This window comes from Homo sapiens, chromosome 2 (genome assembly GCF_000001405.40).
Source record: "Homo sapiens chromosome 2, GRCh38.p14 Primary Assembly".
In the NCBI taxonomy this organism is placed as follows: Eukaryota; Metazoa; Chordata; class Mammalia; order Primates; family Hominidae; genus Homo; species Homo sapiens.
The window spans coordinates 195,764,592-195,787,498 of NC_000002.12; the positions used below are offsets into that span (position 1 = coordinate 195,764,592).

The window sequence follows — 22,907 nt, forward strand, 5'->3', positions numbered from 1 at the left end:
GTGAACAATCTGAAAAGGAAATCAAGAAATCAAGAATCCCATTTACAATAGCTACAAAAAGATAAAATACCTAGGACTTAACCAAAGAAGTAAAAAGACCTCTATGATAAAAACTATAAAACACTGGTGAAAGAAATTGAAGAAGACACAGTAAAATGGAAAGATATTCCATGTCAATGGATTGGAAGAATCAATATTGTTAAAATGTCCATCCTACCAAAAGCAGTCTATAGATTCAGTGCAACCCCCATCAAAATACCTATGACATTCTTTATAGAAATAGAAAAAAAAAAACGCTAAAACTTATATGGAACCACATAAGACCCAGAATAGCCAAAGCTATCCTGAGCAAAATGATTAAAACTGGAGGAATCACATTACCTGATTTCAAATTATACTACAGAGCTATAATCAACAAAACAGCATGGTACTGGCATAAAAACAGACACACAGCCCAATAGAACAGGAGAGAGAACCTATAGATAAATCCATACATCTACAGTGAACTCATTTTTGACAAAGTTGCCAAGAACATACTTTAGTTGACAGTCTCTTCAATAAATGGTGCTGGGAAATCTGGATATTCATATGCAGAAAAGTGAAACCAGACCCCCATCTTGCCATATTAAAAAAGTTAAAATGGATTAAAGGCTTAAATCTAAGACCTCAAACTATGAATCTACTGTGAGGAAACATTGAAGAAGCTCTCCAGGACCTTGGATTGGGCAAAGATTCCTTGAGTAATACTCCACAGGCACAGACAAACAAAGCAAAAGTAGACAAATGGGATCACACCAATTAAAAAGCTTGTCCATAGCAAAAGAAGCAATCAATAAAATGAACAGAGAACACAGAGAATGGGAGAAAATATTTGCAAACTACCTATCTGATGAGAGATTAAGAACCAGAATATATAAGATGGTCAAACAACTCTGTAGGAAAAACTCTAATAATCCAATTTTAAAATGGGCAAAAGATCTGAATAGACATTTCTCAAAAGAAGACATACAAATGGCAAAAAGGCATACAGAAAGGTGCTCAATGTCACTGATCATCAGAGAAACCCAAATCAAAACTACAATAAGATATCATCTCGCCCTAGTTAAAATGGCTTATATCCAAAAGACAGACAGTAACAAATGCAGGTGAGAATGTGGAGAAAAGGGAACGCTTGTACACTGTTGGTGAGAATGTAAATTAGTACAACCACTGTGGAGAACAGTTTGGAGATTCCTTAAAAAACTAAAACGAGAGCTACCATATGATCCAGCAATCCTACTGCTATATATACCCAAAGAAAGGAAATCAGTATATTGAAGATATATCTGCACTCCCATGTTTATTGCCGCACTACTCACAAAAGCCAAGATATGAAAGCAACCTGTGTCCATCAACAAAGGAACAGATGAAGAAAACGTGGTACTTATACACAACAGTGTATTATTCAGTCATAAAAAGAATGAGATCCTGTCATTTGCAACAAAATGGATGGAACCTGAGATCATTATGTTAAGCGAAAAAAGCCAGGCACTAAAGGACAAACTTTGCATGTTCTCGTTTAATTTGTGGGAGCTAATTTTTTTTTTTTTTTTTTTTTTTTGAGACAGAGTCTTGCTCTGTCACCCAGGCTGGAGGGCAGTGGCACAATCTTGGCTCACTGCAACCTCCGCCTCCCTGGTTCAAGCGATCCGCCTGCCTCAGCCTTCCAAATAGCTGGGATTACAGGCATCTCCCACCATGCCAATTTTTATATTTTTAGTAGAGACGGGTTTCGCCCTGTTGGCCAGGCTGGTCTCAAACTCCTGACCTCAGGTGATCCACTGGCCTCCGGTTCCCAAAGTGCTGGGATTACAGGCGTGAGCTACCATGCACAGGCCATGGAAGCTAAATATTAAAACAATTGAACTTGTGGAGTTAGAGAGTAGAATGATGGCTACCAGATGTTGGGTAGAGTAGTGGTAGGTAGGGTTAATAGTAGGGATGGTTAATGAATATTTTAAAAAATGAAAGAATGAAGGAGATCTAGTATTTGATGGCACAACAGAGTGACTACAGTCAATAATTTAATTGCACATTTAAAAATAACTAAAAGAGAATAATTCATTGTTTGTAACACAAAGGATCCATGTTTGAGGTGATCGATACCCCATTTACCCTGATGTAATTATTATTCATTGTATGCCTGTATGAGAATATCTCATGTATCCCACAAATATATACATCTACTATATAACCACAAAAATAAGAAATAAATAAGTAAAATGTATTGGCATAATGTTTTCATGATGTCATCTTCAGATCTCTTAGACTATAGTGTCTATTTTGATTACTTCATTTCCATTGTTGATATTAGTTTCTGGTTACTTCTCTTTTTTTGCTTTGTCACTTCTGTTAGTCTTAAAATAAGGACTATTTGGCTTTGTTGAGTCTATTATGTTTGTTTTCTATTTCATTAATTTGTCTTTATTTTATTATGCTTTTTGTTTTTCTAACATATATTTGAAGCTGCATTCTCCAATTTTTGGCATGTTGATATCTGTTCACTCTAATTTAACAGAAATTATTATTAAATTTTCATTTAAATTTTTTAAGCTGTGAGTTATTAAGAAGTGTTTTACTAAATTTCCAAATATATGGGTATTTCTCATTGTGCTTTTGTTATTCATTACTAGCTTAATTCCTCTCTGATCAGAGAATATAGTCTGATGATCTGAGACCTTTTAATTTATTGAGACTTGTTTTATAGTTTTTATATAGTCATTCTTTGTAAATGTTCCATGTTAATTTGAAAAGAAAAGTATATTATACTCTTGTGGGAATCAGTGTTCCATATACACCAGTTAGCTCAATTTGTAAATGGAGTTGTTCGACACTTCTATACCTTTACTCCTCCTCCTCAAAATTTCCTCCTCCTTTTTTTTGTTCAGTTTTAGCATTTAAAATTTATTTATTCTAGTACTGAACTTACAGGATATCCTTTTTCTTGTCTCTTAAGCCAAATAATTCACTTCTTTTCAATCTTTCTTGTTTAATAATTAAATTAAAAATAAAGTTAAGACTATAAATTTTCTTGGGTGTAACTTCAGCTTTATCCCATAATTATAATGTGTAATTTCTTTTGTTTATTGTTTCACTCTTTAAAAACTGCCAACTAGTTTTTTATTTCACTTAAAAAATAACACAGGACATTTTATAAAATGATTGCTCTGTATTCTTAAAAAATGTCAATATTATCAAAGATAAAGAAAGGCTAAGAAACTGTCTTGGAATAAAGAAGATAAAGAAACATGGCAACGGAATGAAATATTTGATCCTGGTCTGAAATCTGTGTCAGAATAGATTTTGCTAGAAAAGACAGAACTGGAATGATTGAAAAAATTGAAGTATTTGATTGCTGATTAGATAAAAATATTACATTTAGGTTTTTATTCTTAAATTTGATAACTGTATTGTGATATTGTAAAAGAATATTCTTGTTTTTGGAAAGTACACCTTAAAAGTATTAAGAGATAAAGGGGTATAAGCAAGCATTATTCTCAAATAATTCAGAAAACACTTATATATGGGTATATATATTTATATCTTTAATATATATATCTTTTATATATATATTATAAATATATATCTTTAAGATATATATAGAGAAAAGCAGAGGGCAAATGATAAGGCAAATATGGCAAATTTAGGAAAATATAATTTTACAGAGAATATGCATATTTTTAAGAAATCACAAATTGAGTCAAACAATACATAAAATTATACACCTTTTTTCATTTATCAGTATGTCTTGGCATCTTTCCACATCAGCAACTATAAAACTATCTCACTCTTAATTGATGGGCATTTCATCGTGTATATTATCATAACCACTGGATAATATTTAGATTAATCACTTATTGAAACAATGCAGTGCTGCCCATTCCTGTGCTTATAGCTTTGCATACGTGTGCATGTATCTATATATATATATTTAGGATAAAGAAGATTTAACATTTTTACTGGTATTACCAAGTTGTACTTCAAAGAGGTTCAACAATTTACATTTCCAATAACACATATGAGAATGCCTGATGACTAACCTGCCAACAATGAATACTGCTAAGTATTTAAATATTTGCTGGAATCCTGGGTAAATTAAAATTGAGTCCTTCTATAATTGCAATTCTTTGACATTTTTACAATATTGAACTTTTAAGTTTTAGTAGAGCTTTGATCTTTTACAAATATATAGGTTCAACATGTTCGTTTGCTAAATTTATTGTCATAATTTACCTTTTGTGTAACTGTAAGAAATAGGTTTTGTCTTATGTATTGGATATTGCCATTAAAAATACATCTGGTTTTAGCATTATACCAGAGAATGTGATATAAAATTGTCCCAGTTAGATTGTGTCTTTCACTGAGATATTGGAAAAAGAAATGAGTTTAATATGAGGTCTTACATTGCTACATTGGTCACAGATATCATGTCAAGTTAGGTTTTTCAAATTTGAAATATTTTCTTCCTCAAATTAGTGAAATATGAAGAGAATGATGAAAGAATGGCATGAGAAAGGACATTATAAGTAGTTCATATGAGTTGGGTGAAAGAAATTGATGCTTCAAAGTAATCTATGCTTGCGGAGAATAAAGCAACTCCATCTTGTAATTTCTTTTTAGTGATGGGGTCTTACTGTTGTCAAGGTGGTCTCGAATTCCTGGGCTCAAACAATCCTCCCAACTCAGCCTCCTAAAGTTCTCGTATTACATGTGTGAGCCACTGCACTAGGCCAGCAACTCCATCTTGGATGCCAGTCTGCCATGTTGGCATCTCATTAACCCCTCTGCTGAGAATGCCTTTAAGATTTCTACTTTATCCACTGTTACCATAAATCCTGCCCTTAGGTCAAAACAACCTTGACATTAAACCCTGCCATTGGGCAGATTCACATAGCATTATTGCCTTTCCCTGAGGGATCGTCTTCAATTGTCCTACACATTCCTTCCCTATGATGCATCAGCCCTGGGTCTAGGGGGTAAAGGTGTTAGGACCCACTATCTCCTCTCACGGCTGCCTGGACATTATGACTTCTGTTCGTAAGTCACTATTAAATGTTCCTTTCTGAGAAACTGGATTTGTCCAGCTTCTTTCTTTGGCCTCTCAGTTTTTCAGCCTTTGTGGATAGGTTTGCATAGACCTGCTTGCCACCGAAAAATGCTCATCAGTACTACCAAAATATTTGAAATAATTTATACATTTTATTTTCAAATATAATCAACGTGATACAGACTCTGAAATTTATCACCAGCCTTGACTTCCCTCTTGAACTCTAAAGGAGGTATCTAACAACTCGACCTCCCCATTGAGTCTACCAGGCATTTCAAAATTAATATGACCAAAATATAATTCTTGATTTTCTACATCAAATCTGTTCCTTGCCCAGACTTTCCACTTGCTTAGGCCAAACATTTAGGAGTTATCATTAACTACTCTCTTGCTCACACACACATCAATCTTCAGCCAGCATAGTAGACTCCTCTTTCAGTAATAACTCATAAGCAGCCACCTCCCTCTGCCTCCAATGCAGAGGGAGTTGCTGAACAAGAGACCAGTTCAGCTGGATTTCTCAATCATATCATTGGTCTCTGTCTGTACTGCTGTTTCCCCATAATCCTTTCAGCAGTGGTTAGAGTAAACTTTTAAAAATGTAGAATGGGTCATTTCACTTCAGTGCTTAAAACCCTCTGAAGCCTTCTCTTTATATTTATACTTTAAAATCAAATAAAACAAAATTTAAGACCCTAACTATGGCTAACACCATCACGATCCAGCCTCTGGCGTCTTCTCTCTAGTATTAGGGTCTGTCTCATGCTCACTCCACTCTAGCCAATCAGCCTTTCTACTTGTGTTCCTGGACCAGGCCCAGCTTGTTTTCTCTTGGCTTTACACTTGTGTTATACCCTCTGCCTGAAATACTCTTCCCTGAAACGTTCCATGGATTGCCCCTCAACGTAATTTAGGTCTCTCTCCAAGAGTCATTCCTCAGAGGGACCTGACCCAACCTAAGAGAGCTTCTCACCCATAATTCTCTACTCCCTAATCTTGTTTAATTTTTCTCCATAAAACTTATCACTTACCAAAATTTGTATGTATTTGTTTATTTTTAGTTTGACACAGGGTCTCACTCTGTTGCCTGGGCTGGGTAGGATCGTAGCTTACTGCAGCCTTAACCTCCCAGTCTCCAGTGATCCTCCTGTCTCAGCCTCCTGAGTAGCATACACCACAATGCCCAGCATTTTTTTTTTTTTTTTCAGAAGAGACAAGGTCTTGCTGTGTTGCCAAGGAAGTTCTCAAACTCAAGCAGTCCTCCCACCTTGGCCTCCCAAAGTGCTAGGATTACAGGCATGAGCCACCACACTTGGCCAGTTTATTTCTCAGTTTGCCTCCCTCACTAAAATGTGAGCCTGGGCCAGGAGTTGGTGGCTCACACCTATAGTCCCTGCACTTTGGGAGGCCAAGGCGGGAGTATCACTTGAGCCCAGTTCAAAACCAGCCTGAGCAGGATGGCGAGACCCCATCTCTAAAAAAATAAAAATAAAATAAAATAAAATAGAATAAAATAGCCAGGCTTGGTGGCTCACACCTCTAATCTAAGCTACTCAGGAAGGTTAGGCAAAGGAATCCCTTGAGCCCAGGGGTTCATGGCAGCAGTGAGCGGTAATCACATGACTATACTCCAGTCTGGGTGACAGAGTGAGACCCCATCTCTAAAAAAATAATAATAATAAATGAAAAAATGTGCTTTATGAAGGCAAGGGCTCATTCCTTACCACACTGTGTCTCCTTAGCATATATCCAATCCAGGGTCCTATCCCTATCTAACATCCTCTATACTTATTTCCCTGTTTATTAACTCTCACTCCCAGAATTCTATAAGCTCCTCAAGGGCAAGAATTATTTTCTAATCTTATTTATCCCCAGAACCCAAAACAGTGCTTATACAGTATTTGTGCTAAACAAGTATTTGCTAAATAAATGAATGCTATATATAATTTAATGGGGGTTTTTTTTGGTGTTTTTCACCTTACCTTGATTGCTTTTTGAATATTTACGCACGAATCTCTTATGGTCTTCAGTAACTTATTGAACCGTCCCATCTCTTGGACAAGTACAGTGTTCATGCTCTGAGTATAAGTTGTTGGGTACCTCCTCATGGCAGCCTCGATGTCGAAGTTGTTTGGAAGTTTGCCCAAGATGTCACTAGCGACCTCATTCACTACTTCATCTGATGATTTTGCACCAGCACCTGCTGAACGAGACTATGAAGAATCCAAACTATAACTCAAAAATCCTCATAAAGGTCTAACAATAGCTGAATAGGAAAAATCCTAAGGTAAATCTTTATAAGAAAGAACATTGCTCTCTATTTTATCCATGATCCATCTCCACACAAGATTTATTAAAGTGATGGTAACAGGCAGGAGGATGGATTTTCAAGGGAAAACTATTGTTAGAGAGGAGGAATAAGGGCATGTAATGTGTTCAGAGGCAAAAGAGGATCTGGAGAAAGCAAATAAGCTGTATGCTTGGCTGCCAGGGTACAGGGGGAGTTGCAGATGCTGCAGATAGTGGAAGAAAAAGCATTGCACTGGTGGAGTGGCCAAGCGATGGCGGGCATTAAAACCCAGATGGGGGAAATCTCATCTTGCTTTGAGAAAGCATGCCACAAAATATATTTGCCAATAACTCTGGTGTCTACTGGTTGCCAAAAGCAGAGATATAGTTTTCTCCTTGAACCAGGAGAGAAAGAAAATAAGCTCATCTCCTCTAAGCAGCTGGAAGAGTTATGGACGAAAGACAGACTTTAGTGATTCACGTTGGAAGCAAGGAAGGAGAATTTCAATTCCATTTTTGTTTTTTATATTTATGGTGGCATTGTGTAAATGAATCTATATTTTCTGAAAAAAAAATTAAATCCTCAGAACAAATGAATATGGGGTATGTGTTGAAAGAAAACAAGTACTATTAGAACATAAATAAATACATCTCATGTTTTACCAGTCAAAGGAAACTGTGTTTAGTCTTCTTTTAGATTTTGTTTCCTGGTTTCTGTACTATAAATATTAACATGCTCAAAATTGATTCTGAAAATATTAACTTTTTTATTGTTTTTTAATATTAATTATTTTTACCTAAGTTTCTACTGTGACTTTTTTTTTTTTTTTTTGAGATGTAGTCTCACTCTGTTGCCCAGGCTGGAGTGCCGTGGCACGATTTCCGTTCGCTGCAACCTCTGCCTCCCGGGTTCAAGCACTTCTCCTGCCTCGGTCTCCCAAATAGCTGGGATTATAGGGGACTGCTACCACGCCTGGCTAATTTTTGTATTTTTAGTAGAGACAGTGTTTCACCATGTTGGCCAGGCTGGTCTCAAACTCCTGGCCTCAGGTGATCCGCCTGCCTCGGCCTCCCAAAGTGCTGGGATTATAGGCATGAGCCACCGTGCCCGGCCTCTACTGTGATTTTAACACTACTTACCACATACCACCATAATATCCTATACAGTTACACAATAAAATAATTAAATGTTGGTACATTTTAATTATGGGCTATTAAAAAAGAGATATGCTCGTATAATAATCCTTTATTATGATTCCATAGTACCGGGTTTACAACAAAATATAAAAAACAAATCATAGAGAACGAAAAGTATTTGGCTAAAACTAATGAAATATCTAATTCCATTATATTTAAAGAATCTATGCTGATTTCCAGTAGTATTTTGGTGTGCATAAAAGGCAGCAAAAACTCATTAAAATATTCCCATATTCTAACAAGAGCTGTGCCTCTGCAAAAAAAAAAAACAAATCCAGGTCTATGGTTCTTCAAAAAACGTAAAAAAAAAAAAATTTAATAACGCAAACATTCCCCTTACCTATTTCTCACACACAAAGATCACATGATTACGGTGATAGGTTTTTGAAAGTAATATCCAACTGATACTGATAATTAAGAGCAATTGGGTCCTATTTATTTATAATTATTTATCTTAGCTTTTTCTTCTTTACTATCTTTCTTTAGAGTTATCACAAATAGCATCTGGAATCTTCTAAGGGTTATTTTCCTCTTAAAGATAAGTGGAATTCATTTTCAGAGACATCAGAAAGTTTAACCTTTTCAGAGATCCTAGACTATTATCTAGTTTTATAATATTCTAAGTTGAAACAATTTTTCTATTCTAAATAGTGTGTGGCAGTTAACCACAAGCAAAGGAGCTCTGCACAAGCAAACTTCTTAGCTCTGATAGCTTCCTCTTTTATTTTTTCCAAGATAAATTAGTTAAATACAAAAAGTCTTGTCATCATTAACTTGCTCTCCAAGCTCTGCAGTTCTGGTCTCTTTACCTCTGAATTGTGATAAACCCAATCTAGAATCACTGAACTACTGCTCACCCATAACTATAATTGTATTCGCCAACCTGAGTTTGAGGATTGAAAGAGGCTGTTTAATTATTTACTGAAAAGATACCCCTTGTGTATTTAAACTTATTTGTCTGGTTCAGAGTCATTTTCTGTTGGAATGACCCCACTGTTTTACGTATTCTGTAATGTGGCACACCCCGTCAAGTTTAAGTAAAGCCAAAAGACACTGTTAATGTCCTGTTGTCAGACTGTTGTGTATTACATGCAATCTAATGCTCCTAAAGAGCTACTCATTCATGTTTGCACATATACTTTTATGCCCAGGCAATAACTGATTTTAGTGCTATCAATATCTAAAATGGATGTAAAAATAGTCTTTGTTCCTTTTCCCTTATTAGAAAATGTCATAGTAGAGTAGACCAGAGATAGGAGTTCCATGGACTCTTCCATTATTCCATTATGCTATTACTAATGAATAGTCCACATTATCCTTCTAATTTTTAGCTTTTTAAGAATCTCTGGCTATCTGCCTTTCAGAATCTGGAAAGAGAATATAGCACAGTGGTTTAGAACACAAGATTCTGGAGCCAAACTGGTAGGAGCCAGACCGCTTGGTTTTGAGTCCTGATTTGAAATCGTACTAGCTGACTTTGGGCAAACTGCTTAATCTTTCTGTGCCTCACTTTTCTCACTGTAAAATGGGAATAGTAATAGTTAGACTCTACTTCGAGGGACTGTCATTAGCATTGCATTGTTATACATAATAGCACTTGGAACAGCACTAGTACAGAGTAAGCACTATACAAAAGTATTAACTGTTGCCATTTTTACTCTGAGATGCCACAAAAAGATCAGTTACAATTCAGTTAATAGGATAATTTGCTTGACTGATTATTCTTCCTTAATTCATCAAAATTTTATTGAATCATTATGGGAACTCTTGCCATTTGGACTAATTTCCTTTCAAAAACAAATCAAATTAACAACTGAGCATATCTTCTAAAGGAATAACAATACAAGATAGCTTCCTCTTTTATTTTTTCCAAGATAAATTAGTTAAATACAAAGTCTTGTCATCATTAACTTGCTCTCCAAGCTCTGTAGTTCTGGTCTCTTTACCTCTGAATTGTGATAAACCCAATCTATCTCTTAATAGACAAGCAAGATTAGCAGATGTTCTTCATTAAAATGTACTGACCTGTGCTCACGGCAGCTAAATTCTGGTGTCTTTGCAGATTGCTTTCCCACACCCCAGTGCGCTTATGCACTCTCCAGGAGAGCTGCATCTACAAATTCTTCTCCTATACTTTTAAATTCATTTTGTACTTACTATTGCAATTATATTTTAAATGTTATACTAATATAAATCTGAAAAAATATGAGTGTGAATGAAACTGTGTCCATGTAAATCAGTTTAAATGTTCTGGAACAGCTGTTGAAATACTAGGGGACTGGAAAATAAAATAGGTAAAATTTTAGATGAATTCTCTCATCAAACTGCTTCCCAAGTATCTTTGCAATTCTTCTTCCTCTTTAAAGAAATTTAAAAGGGACACAATGTATGATGTATTTAGGTAGGGCAAGAAAGGCAAAATGAAACTCCTAGAAGCAGAATGATACTTAAAGAATATATCTGGGTTCCCAAAAAAAGATAGATGAAAAAAAAAAAAAAACACACGTTCAGGTACTTAGTGTTCAAATCCTTATTTAAGTTATGTATGTATTTTTGTCTTTTCCTTTAAATGTTTCTCCACTTGAACAGAATTGTGTAAGGAAGCCTGTTCAGTGCTGGCACACGTGCCTGGGGAGCATCCTTCCCAGGCCTCAGAATCCAGGTCCTATACAGATCACACACCTGTGTAAGAAGAATGTTATCAAATAGCAGCTGAGTTTCTGACTGATCCTTAGTGATATCTGCATTGGCATTCATCCCAAAGATTTCTGGTGCTGGGGTCAGTGGCAGAGTCTTTGTGTATTCGATGTAGCTTTTGTGCTGCAGAGATGAATAACAAGAAGTCAGGAGGTTAGAAATCAATTACTTTCTAGAACTTTTCACAGAAAAGAGGCAGTTTTCAATACTCAAGTTATTGACTGGATAGGCCTGTGACACTGGACATTGAGTGCTTTCACTTTCTTTCAGCCTGGGCCAAAGTTTAAAAAAAAATATGAACAGCTAGGCGCGGTGGCTCACGCCTGTAATCCCAGCACTTTGGGAGGCCGAGGCGGGTGGATTACCTGAGGTCGGGAGTTTGAGACCAGCCTGACCAACATGGAGAAACCCCGTCTCTCCTAAAAATACAAAATTAGTCGGGTGTGGTGGCACACACCTGTGATCCCAGCTACTCAGGAGGCTGAGACAGGAGAATCACTTGAACCCAGGAGACAGAAGTTGCGGTGAGCTGAGATTGCACCATTACACTCCAGCCTGGGCGAGAAGAGTGAAACTCCATCTCAAAAAAAAAGAAAAGAGGAAAAAAAAAGAATGTATTTACAGAGAAAAAGAAAATGTACCTTTCAATTGGAATGGGTTTTTTAATGGGGGGGAGGGGAATCCTGGTAACTTCATTTAGAAATTACCTACAGAGAAATCTTTGTGTCATATTTTGCTGATGATTATTCTTATCACAATAAAAATATTTTTTTTCTGATTTACTCTGATTATTCTGTTTACTCTTACTGTAAAAAATTCACCCAATTCAAAAAAGTAAAAATTATTTAAAATTCTATTATTCTGATAATCACCATTAACATTATACTTCTTTTTATGCATACACACATATTTTATATTTTATTTAAATGGACGTCTATTAAAATTTCATACCTTCCTTGATGCTCATAGAATCATATACAAACATCCACACACACACATGGCAAAGGGGGTTTGGTCATGGATGGCTTTATGATTTGGGTCACTTTGCAAACACCTTACTTCATCTTGCTTTTTTCTCACTTGGCAATTCATCATTGGAGATCTTGTTACCCCAGCTCCCATGTTGACTTGCTGTACCCAACAGTGACCTAGGCTTTGGGAGTGATTTTTCCCTTTATCTATACCAACATCTGCCCTTGGCTAGCATTAATCCTAGTGGAAGATGAGGTTAGGGTTGGGGGGTTACAGTATGTGTTTCTGTTGCTTGTGTTTAACTTTCAATATATGCCCTTTGACTTCTGGGAATAACATGAGAACCAACTTGATTGTCTTAGCAATCTCTAGAAATCCACTGTGATCATCAGAAGGCAGTGGACAGGACTGGAGAAGAGCAGAAGGGAATCTTGGTCTTGTGCTGCAGGTGGGTCTGTGACTCGCTGCCACCTTCTTACCTGTGTGGCCTTGGGCAAATTATTCTACTGTAATGAACCTGCTTTCTCATTTGTAAAAGGGATAAAATAATAATACCAATGTTAATTTGATGCTCTAGTGAGATAATTACTTGCAACTGACTTCCAAATAATTATAAATATTAACTACTACTGCTAATAATATTTTGCTAATACCATCTCTTATGTATTTTCATTTTAATTGGGGACAATGTCTTTTTAGCCAAAGGACTGAGTTTATGATGACAGAACTTCAGGTCACTGAAAAAGCGTGAGACACGTTTCTGATACTTCTTACATTACAGTGAACAGGAAACCCCTAACTCCACCTATAGCGTGAGCTTTGTTTTATCCCTATATGACTGAAGAAAGCACAGACAAGGGTAACAAAAAAACAAGGCCTGCAGCAAAATCACCATTTAAAAAATATCATCACTACCAAAATAATTTCATGTCTTACTGCTTTTAGTTTTTTTGAAGGGCATACTTACATCACCAGAAGGAGGAACAAAATAGATGCCACTTGAGTCGAACTTATAGTCTGAATTTTCAACTAATTCGGGATTGAAGAATTTGTTTAGAATGCTGCGCAGCGTGCGCCGGTCCCAGTCATCGGTCACTCTGCCTCCGTAATTGCATTCGCCAGTCATGTACCGCAGAGCCTCATACGGCAGTTCCTAAAATAGTGCGTGTCAGTCAACCAGTTATCAGTAGCATGTTATACAGAATCGTGTTTCTTGTTTTTTCCTATTACTAAATTAAACATCTTACAAAAAGTTCGCATTAACACAACTTCCCTTCGTATGCTTCCCTGCTAATTGTTGCCATTTTTCCCAGGGCCGTTCACTTCTTTTCTGGCTTTTTATTTCCATCCAGTCAATGCTGAGAATGGAATTCCTCTATTAAGTTGTGAATTTATTGTCTATTCAACCAAAATTATTTCAACACCTACTATGTGCCAGATACGAATGAATTAGATCATAATATCATCTATGAAAACTTTGCACAGCTGAGTGACATGCAAAGCAGATAGAGTGTAATTCAGAGGGCCGGGCATGGTGGCTCACAACTGTAATCCCAGCACTTTGAGAGGCCAAGGCGAGAGAATCACTTGAGCCCAGTAGTTTGAGAACAGCCTGGGCAACATGGGGAGACCCTGTCCCTACCAAAAAAAAAAAAGTAACCAGGTATAGTAGCACATGCCTATAGTCCCAGCTAGGGAAAGGGCTGAGGTAGGAGGATCGAAGCTGCAGTGAACAATAATTGTGCCACTACTCTCCAGCCTGGGTGACAGAGCAAGACCCTGTCTGAAAAAAAAAAAAAATAAATAAATAAATATATATATATATATATATATATATACACACACACACATATATATACACATATATATATACACATATATATACACATATATATATACACATATATATATATAATAAAACTCAGAGATCAGCAGTGTTACTTCACCACCTTTCAATATCCATATATATTTGACAATTTGAATCATATATATACATATACACAATTGTACACTTTTTTTTTTTTTTTTGAGACTGAGTTTCACTCTTGTTGCCCAGGCTGGAGTGCAATGGCACGATCTCGGCTCACTGCAACCTCCACCTCCCGGGTTCAAGCATTTCTCCTGCCTCAGCCTCCCGAGTAGCTGGGACTACAGGCATGTGCCACCACGCCCAGCTAATTTTTTGTATTTTTAGTAGAGACGGGGTTTCACCGTGTTAGCCAGGATGATCTCGATCTCCTGACCTCATGATCCGCCTGCCTTGGTCTCCCAAAGTGCTGGGATTACAGGCGTGACGTACCGCTCCCAGCCAGACTGTACACTTTTTTTTCCACAAATTCCTATATGACTTCTTTTACAATTTCATAAAACATTCTTTGAAAATACTATTTTAATAACTGTTTTCTAATATTAAACACTTTCATTGCTTCTAATTTTTTAGTGTGCTGAATCATGTTCATTAAATATACATTTCTTAAAATGTCTAATGATTCTTCAGTCTAGATTCCTGAAAAGGAAATTACTATTTTCTTTCCAAAGAAAGAAGCTTATAAAAAGCAATTTATAAACATTACCAGTCTGCTTTTCCAAAAAGCTGAAGCATTTGTAGCAGCCAGTTTTAAAATCTTTGCTAATATGGTAGGTCAATAATATTATTTTAATTTGCATTTCTAGAACAATAGTGAGGTCCACAATTATTTCATATGTTTTATAATATTTGTTGTTTTTTTTTTAAACTAGCCTCCTATCTACTTTTCCTATTAAAGTATTGTAGGGTTTTTTTTGTTTGTTTTTTGAGTCAGAGTCTTGCTCTGTCACCCAGGCTGGAGTACAGTGGTGTGATAAGGGCTCACTGTCTCCACCTCCAGGGTTAAAGAGATCCTCCTACCTCAGCCTCTCAAGTAGCTGAGACTACAGATATATGCCACCATGCCCGGCTAATTTTTGTATTTTATGTAATGGTGGGGTTTCACCATGTTGCCCAGGCTGGCCTCGAACTCCCAGGCTCAGGCAATCCACTGCCTCAGCCTCCCAAAGTGCTGGGATTACAGGCATGAACCACTGCACCCTGCCCTATTAAAGTTTTAATAGTACTTCTTTGTATATACTCTTTTATAAACTGACTTTTATTTTTCAAATTTGTGGAAATATTTTTTCTACTTAGTTTTAAAAAGTATTTTATTATGTTCTTTAGTGTATAGAATTTTTAGTTTATGAATGCAATGGTGTTGATTTCTCACATTGCAATTTATTTTATCCTGAGCATAAATACTCACACACCCACTAGCAGTACAGAAAATTCTATTTCTCACTACTCTCAAGAAAACAGAGTATTATCATTTAGGAAAATAATTGATAATAAAACAATATAATTATTTTTAATTTTGATTTTGACATTGGCACTCTCAAAATTTTTATTCACCATTTGTATTTCTTATTTTATAAATTATTCACTCTGATCTATGTTTTTCTAATTTAAATGGTTATCTTCTTTTTCTTATTCAAAAGCTCTTTGTAAAAACTGAATCAGTCTTTCAGATAAAATTTTAAATATTTTATCCATTTTGATTTATCTTTTACTTCTATGATGTTTATGATAGTTTAATATAGCAATATTTAAAAATATTTTATGCTAGGCCAGGCGCGGTGGCTCACACTTGTAATCCCAGCACTTTGGGAGGCCGAGGCAGGTAGATCACTGGAGGTCAGGAGTTTGATACCAGCCTGGCCAACATGGTGAAACCCCATCTCTACTAAAAATACAAAAATTAGCTGGATGTGGTGGAGCAAGCACCTGTAACCCCAGCTACTCAGGAGGCTGAGGCATGAGAATCACTTGAACCTGGGAGGTGGAGGTTGCAGTGAGCCGAGATCGTGCCACTGCACTCCAGCCTGGGCAACAGGGCAAGACTCTGTCTCAAAATATATATATATATCTCAAAAAATATATATATTTTTATACTAAAATATAGTAATCTCTTGAGAATTTTTTCATCATTTTTGTGCTTTCTGTGTCCTCCTTACAGTAACCTACTAAAATCTAAAGTGCATAGATCTGACATTCTAGTGATCCCACTTTGAGCAAACCTTTCAAGTAGAAACAGTAGCACTAGGGTAAGTAGTAGTGATTAGAGAGGGGAAATTTATTGAATTAGATGCTGGAAATTATAAGACTTGTTATTTGGTAGAACTAGAACTTAAGGCAGTGAATTTAGGAGAACACGTGTCAGTGACAAAGCCCTTGTGAAAAAAAAAACAAATCAAATCAGGAAGAATTGCAGAACATTTATATGCTTCCAACTGCAAATGTGAGTGGAGTTTGATGATACACACACTGCCTGGGCTTGCGCTGTTGACAGGCCCTAACCCCATAAAAATGAAGTACAATAAGAAAATGAAATATAATAAGAAAACTCAATGCAAATCAAATAAGTAGTAAATGAGGTAGAGGTGGATCAGCTAGCCCCTGAGAAGGCTTTGTGATGTAGACATAGATGAGATATGGAGGAGGAGAATTTCATAAGGGTTAAACTTGGCCAACATGCCCCTGAGAGTCCATGAGGTAAATGCTATCTGTTGTTTCTCTCAGAAGTTTGGTCAAATCCAGGGCCAATTAAATTGAGGAGTGTTTTCCCCAGGGGTGGGTGGGTTGGTGGGCATGTAGATTACTAAAGTTTCTAGAAATAGTGGCAGTTTGCTGCTTGGATTGCTTCCCTGTTCCTTGTTACAAGAGGGTTGAGACAATGAGCAGCAGGAGAGAGTAGGTGAAAACAGGGCTTGAAGTCAACAACTAGTATTCATGGTTATATAAGAAGTTCGTTTTAACCTTAACTAGCAAAACACACACACACACACAAAATCTTAGTTATCAAAAAGGGGAAATGCTGTGTAAGTGGTCATTAAAATGAAGATCTCTATCTACTTTGAAAGTTATCCACAACATATGTAGGTAAAAAAAAGTAAGCTGAAGATAAATATGTACACTATAATAATGTTTTTGAGAAAAAATTATGTGTGTATTGTGTTTATATATGTGTATCTATATATGCACAGGAAAATGTCCAGGCACATATGCCCCAGGATGTGAAAATGGTTGCCTTGGGGATCAGTTAGGGTCAGAATGAGGGGTGAGAGGTGGGTCTTATACACACACACACACACACACACACACACACACACACACACAGACACACCCCTACCAAAACAAGAATGACAACGCAATTGCCCATCTGTCAAGTAGATAATATATATCCACCTAAATTTTCTTCTTTTACACTTTTAATTTTTTCTATTTAGTCTTTTTGGATCCAACAGAAATTATATATGAAGAATCTACTTTAGCAAATAACCAATTATTCTAACTTCATTTATCGAATACCTCTTCCATTTCTAATGTTGATTGTTCAAGAAGGAGTGCATTAGACTTAATAATGTCAAAGGGAGCTATGAATCCACATTCCGCAAAGAATCCCTCTTTAACTCATGATGAAGTATACATGACTCAAGTATAGCAGTTTTGGCAAGTTTGCAATACAATTACTATGCTGGAGGAATTGTGAAGCACTTGCTGACTTGTCATTTAATAGAAGGAACCACTTTGGTCAGTGAAACATGTCATTTAAAGATTCTTGAAGAAAGTGAAATAGCTCATACTTGTACCACATAATTATTTATCATTTTTTATTTAATACATTTAAATATCATATTCTTTCACTATAAATGAACTAAAAGAACCACAGAAAAACGTGTAAATTAGCCATTTTTTTCCAAAAAAAATCGTATTATTTCTGCGAAGTCCTGAAAGTTAGATGGAGTTCAGCATTTAAAAAGACATAACACTTTTGAAATTACTGTTGCAAATCCAACAGGCACTTAATTTATTCTCTCCAGCATTTAACAGGATGAACTATTCTTGATACTCTTTATTTACTCAGCTTGCTCGCTCCTGCTTTTTTTCCTGGCTGCACCATCTGCCCTCCATGTCTTCTGTTCTCTCTCCTACCATTGTGTTTTGGTGCTCACCAACATACAATCTTTGTTCTCTTCTTTTTCTACAGCACAAGGCCCCCCCTTTAAATCTCATCTATTTTCAGGCTTCTCCTAACACTTGAATAACCTATAAATCTCTATTTTGTGCTCTCTCTTCCCTTGAGTTTTATATCTATATGCCAAGAGCCTAAAAGACATTTTTACCTGGATATCCACTCGCCCATCTGCTCTATACCTATTAATGCCTGGTTCTATTCCCTGTCTGGATTAATGAATGAAATCACCACCAATCCACACCAGAAAACTCACATCAACCAAGGCTTCTCCCTCTCCCTTTACCATTGAATATATAAGTCATTTCAATCCTTTCCCCTACATATCCATTGTATCTCTACCATGTTCCCTAATCTTGCTCAAATGATTTCGTTTAGACTCTTATCGTTATCTGCCTGGGTTATCATGATAGTCTCCTGTATTACTTTTCTATGACACCAATAGGTGGCTTAAAATGATAGAAATTTATTTTCTAACAGTGCTGGAGCCTAAAAGTCTGAAATCAAGGGACTGGCAGGCCACACTCTCTCTCAAGCCTCTGTAAGGATCTTTCCCAGCCTCCTCTAGTTGTAGCTCCAGGTGTTCCTTGGCTTGTGGCAGCACAACTCAAGTCTCTGCCTCTGTCTTCACATGGCTGTCTTCCTTCTCTGGGTGTGTTCAGATTTCTCTCTTTTTATAATGACACTAGTCATATTAGATTAACGGCCCAACCTACTCCCACATGACCACATTTTAACTTAACTAGTTACACTCACAATGACCCCATCCCAAAATAATGTCACATTCTGAATTACCATGGATTAAGACTTCAACATGTCTTTTACAGGGACACAATTCAACTCCTAGTATCTCCTAAAACCAGCCTGCCAGCTAAGTCTCTCTAAATCCACTCTCCATTCTGTTGTAAGAGTGATCTTCCTAAAAGGCAAAAATAGTCTCCAAAAAGCACACCAATAACAACAGAATAACCACCAAATTAGTTGGCATGGCATAACGTTCCAAATCACTCACAGTTAACCAAATTTTTTCACTGATTTGTACTTTTTTTTTTTAAGACTATTTTTAAAGAACAGTTTTAGGTTCACAACAAAACGGAACAAAAGGTATGGGGATTTCCCACATATTCCCTGTCCCCATACCTGCACAGCCTCCCCCAGTATCAACATCCATGACCAAAGTGGCACACGTCTTACAAATGATGAGCCTACACTGACACATCATTCATGAGGACTCGAAGTCCACAGCTGACATTAGGGTTCACTCCTAGGGTTGTACATCCTATGGATTTGGACAGATTCATAATGCTGTGTATCTACCATTACAGTATCATATAGAATATTTTTGCTGCCCTAAATAAAAATCATCTGTGTTCTACCTATTCATTTTTTTTTCCTACCTAAGCCTTGGGAACCAATAATCATTTCACTGTCTCCACAATTTTGCCTTTTTCAGGATGTCATATAGTCGAAATCACAGACTACGCAGGCTTTTTAGACTGTATTCTCCCACTTAGCAATATGCATTTAAGTTTTCTCCATGTCATTTTATGGTTTAATAGCTTATTTCTTTTTAGCACGGAATAATATCCCATTGTCTGAATGTATCACAGTTTATCCATTCACCTACTAAAGGACATCTTGGTTGCTTCCAAGTTTTGCCAATTATGAATAAAGCTTCTACACATCTATATGCAGGTATTTGTGTGGACCTAAGTTTTCAACTGCACTGGGAAAATACAAAGGAGCATGATTGCTGGATCATATGGTAAAAGGATGTTTAGTTTTATAAGAAACTGCTAAAGTATCTTCCATAGTGGCTGTACCCACACCAGCAATTAATGAGAGTTCCTGCTGCTCCACATCCTTGTTAGCATTTGGTGGTGTCAATGTTCCAGATTTTGGTCATTCTAATAGATGTGTAATGGTCTCTCATTGTTTTAGTTTTTATTTCTCTGATGACATATAATGTGGACCATCTTTTATATGCTTATCATATTGTATATATTTATTACTGAGATGTCTGTTAATATCTTTGACCCTTTTTTTTTTTTTTTTGAGATGGAGTCTCGCTCTGTCACCCAGGCTGGAGTGCAGTGGGCATGATCTCGGCTCACTGCAAGCTCCGCCTCCCGGTTTCACGCCATTCTCCTGCCTCAGCCTCCCGAGTAGCTGGGACTACAGGCTTCTGCCATCACGCCCGGCTAATTTTTTGTATTTTTAGTAGAGACGGGGTTTCACCGTGTTAGTCAGGATGATCTCGATCTCCTGACCTCGTGATCTGCCTGCCTTGGCCTCCCAAAGTGCTGGGATTACAGGCGTGAGCCACCGCACCCGGCCGACCCATTTTTAAACCAGGAATTTTGTTTCCTTATTGTTGAGTTTTAAGAGTTTGTTGGATATTTTGGATAAGAGTCCTTTTTCGGATACGTCTTTTACAAACATTTTCTCTCAGTCTGTCTGTGTGTGTGTGTGTTTTTAATTTAATTTAATTTATTTTTTTAAGACAGGGTCTTGTTTAGCTAGGACTTGTATTAGCTAGGACTTCTAGTACAATGTCGAAAGCAGTAGTGAGAAAGGATATCATTGCCTTGTTCCTGATCTTGGTGGGAAAGCTTCTAGTTTCTCTCCATTTAAGTACAATTAGCTGTAGGTTTTTTGTATGTTTGTTTAATCAAGTTGAGGATGCTCCCCTCCATTCCTAGTTTACTGAGAGCTTTTTTTTTTTTTTTTGGTTGTTGTTTTAAATCATGAATGAGTTGGATTTTTTCAGATGTTTTTTCTGCATCTATCGATATGATCATGTGGTTTTTCTTCTTCAGCCTTCTAATTCATTAACTGAATTTGTAATGTTAAACCAGTCTCGCATACCTGCATACTTTTAACTGACTCTTCATTAAATAATATTTTAAATTAGAATATACCCTACAAGTGTTCAGAACAAATTCCTAAATGGAAGAGCTTCTCATCCTTTTTTATTTTTTTTGTTTTGAAAAGTGTAATTATAGCTCGAATACTTCCTCAGGCACTGTATCACTGCATTTTTGCTCCCTTATTAGTGTATTTTTTGGATAAATGTTACTACAAGAACAAAGCTCATTAAATTTATGATTCTTTTGAATATTTTGTCAAATTTAGATGCTGCAGAATTGAGGGCTTTCTGAATTCATTCTATAGAATAAGAATTTGTCTGATGAAACACAGAAGCCCAAATAAAAGATTCTTCACATAAGTTTAGATACACCATCTGAACTCTCAGTATTTATTTTGTTCAGTTTCTTCTTTACTTTTATAGAGATAGAATCCAATGCCTTCCTGTTTGTAAGCCTCTTTAAAAAGTCATAATTTACTAAGTTTCAAAAACCAAAACTTTTTCATACTCAATTGACGAAATGATTTAGTTATAGATTTCAAACTAAATTTGAACAAAATTGTCAAAACTTAGAGGATTAACTTTCAGAAAAAGGCCTCATATTTTTATAGGACATTTGGGTTTATTTACCAAGTGCTTCTTCAAAGGTACAGGCATGTCAAAAATCCCATTGATAAATAGCAAAGAGAGAAAGGGTACCGCCATGCTGCATGTGTATGAGTACATCAGAACTGGAGAGGCTGAAATGTGGTCTATGTGACAACATTAGGCTGTTCGGCTTCTTTCCACAGTCTATACCCCAGGTTAACACCAATGGCTTAAATAGATTTTTTTTTTTTTTCCTGACAAATGGTCCAAGCTCTGGAATAATGGTATAACGACATTTCCCTAAAAATAAAGTCATACTCCACAAAGGAAGACAACTGGTCTGTTTGTTTTTTACATTTTGGAACCTGGTTAATAGTCTTCTCAAGTCCTTTTCAAAATAAGTATAATATTATCATTTTTTGGATCTCCCTAAGTGTTTGTGTGTCAAAATAAATGATATATCATGGGTTTCTAATAGACAAACTGATGTCCTAACTACCTAGTATAGCAGTTATAATACCCTATTACAATAAAGTACTACTTAATAAGCTGTTGGGAACTACTCTCCTATTCATTTCATAAGAGTAGAAATTAATCAGAAGTGCCCACTTACTATAACACACTTATAACATGATAAAGAGCAACATAGGTAATGTCCTTGCTGTGATTTTTATGATACCTCATACTGGTTCAGGAACATGTGGAGCTGCTGTACGCTGATTCTCAGATCTGTCTCATTGAACTCATAAGGAATATTCCACCCTAGGGGTCCAAATTTCCGTCTTTCTTGTACCAAAGCATGAAAGAAACACAGGCCATAAAGCAATTTCTTGAATTCCTCCTGTAATGAGAAGAAATGATGCCGCATCATTATTTTCTCCATATATTGCATTATATTTACCATATTTTAAAATGAAAGCAAATTTCTTTCATTTATAAATAGCATAGGGACATATTCATCCCAAATTACAATTATAACAGAGTTAAGTATGTTTCTACAGCTTTTCAAGCAAAGTATGTCCGTCTGTGTATATGTTCACATAGCTATGCACACATAGCTGTGTACCCCAGGTTTTTAGGAAGCATGGGAGGCTCATCTAACTTAATGCTGCGTTACAGATTTTTGAGGTCCTTACTGAAGCATCATAAGGCAACATGTAACAATTCC

General features: G+C 36.3%; 1 protein-coding gene across 6 annotated transcripts in view; it reads right to left on the reverse strand.

Moving 5' to 3' along the window:
- DNAH7 (dynein axonemal heavy chain 7) overlaps positions 1-22,907 on the reverse strand; it is a 331,135-nt gene that overhangs the window by 26,889 nt on the left and 281,339 nt on the right. For all 6 annotated transcript variants that reach the window (XM_011511488.4, XM_017004504.3, XM_011511490.4 and 3 more), the window contains 4 exons: positions 22,419-22,580; positions 13,209-13,394; positions 11,255-11,392; positions 7,069-7,299 (listed from right to left, as the gene is read on the reverse strand). In XM_011511488.4, the coding sequence (XP_011509790.1) occupies positions 7,069-7,299; positions 11,255-11,392; positions 13,209-13,394; positions 22,419-22,580 (717 nt within the window). The remainder of the gene's footprint in view (positions 1-7,068; positions 7,300-11,254; positions 11,393-13,208; positions 13,395-22,418; positions 22,581-22,907) is intronic.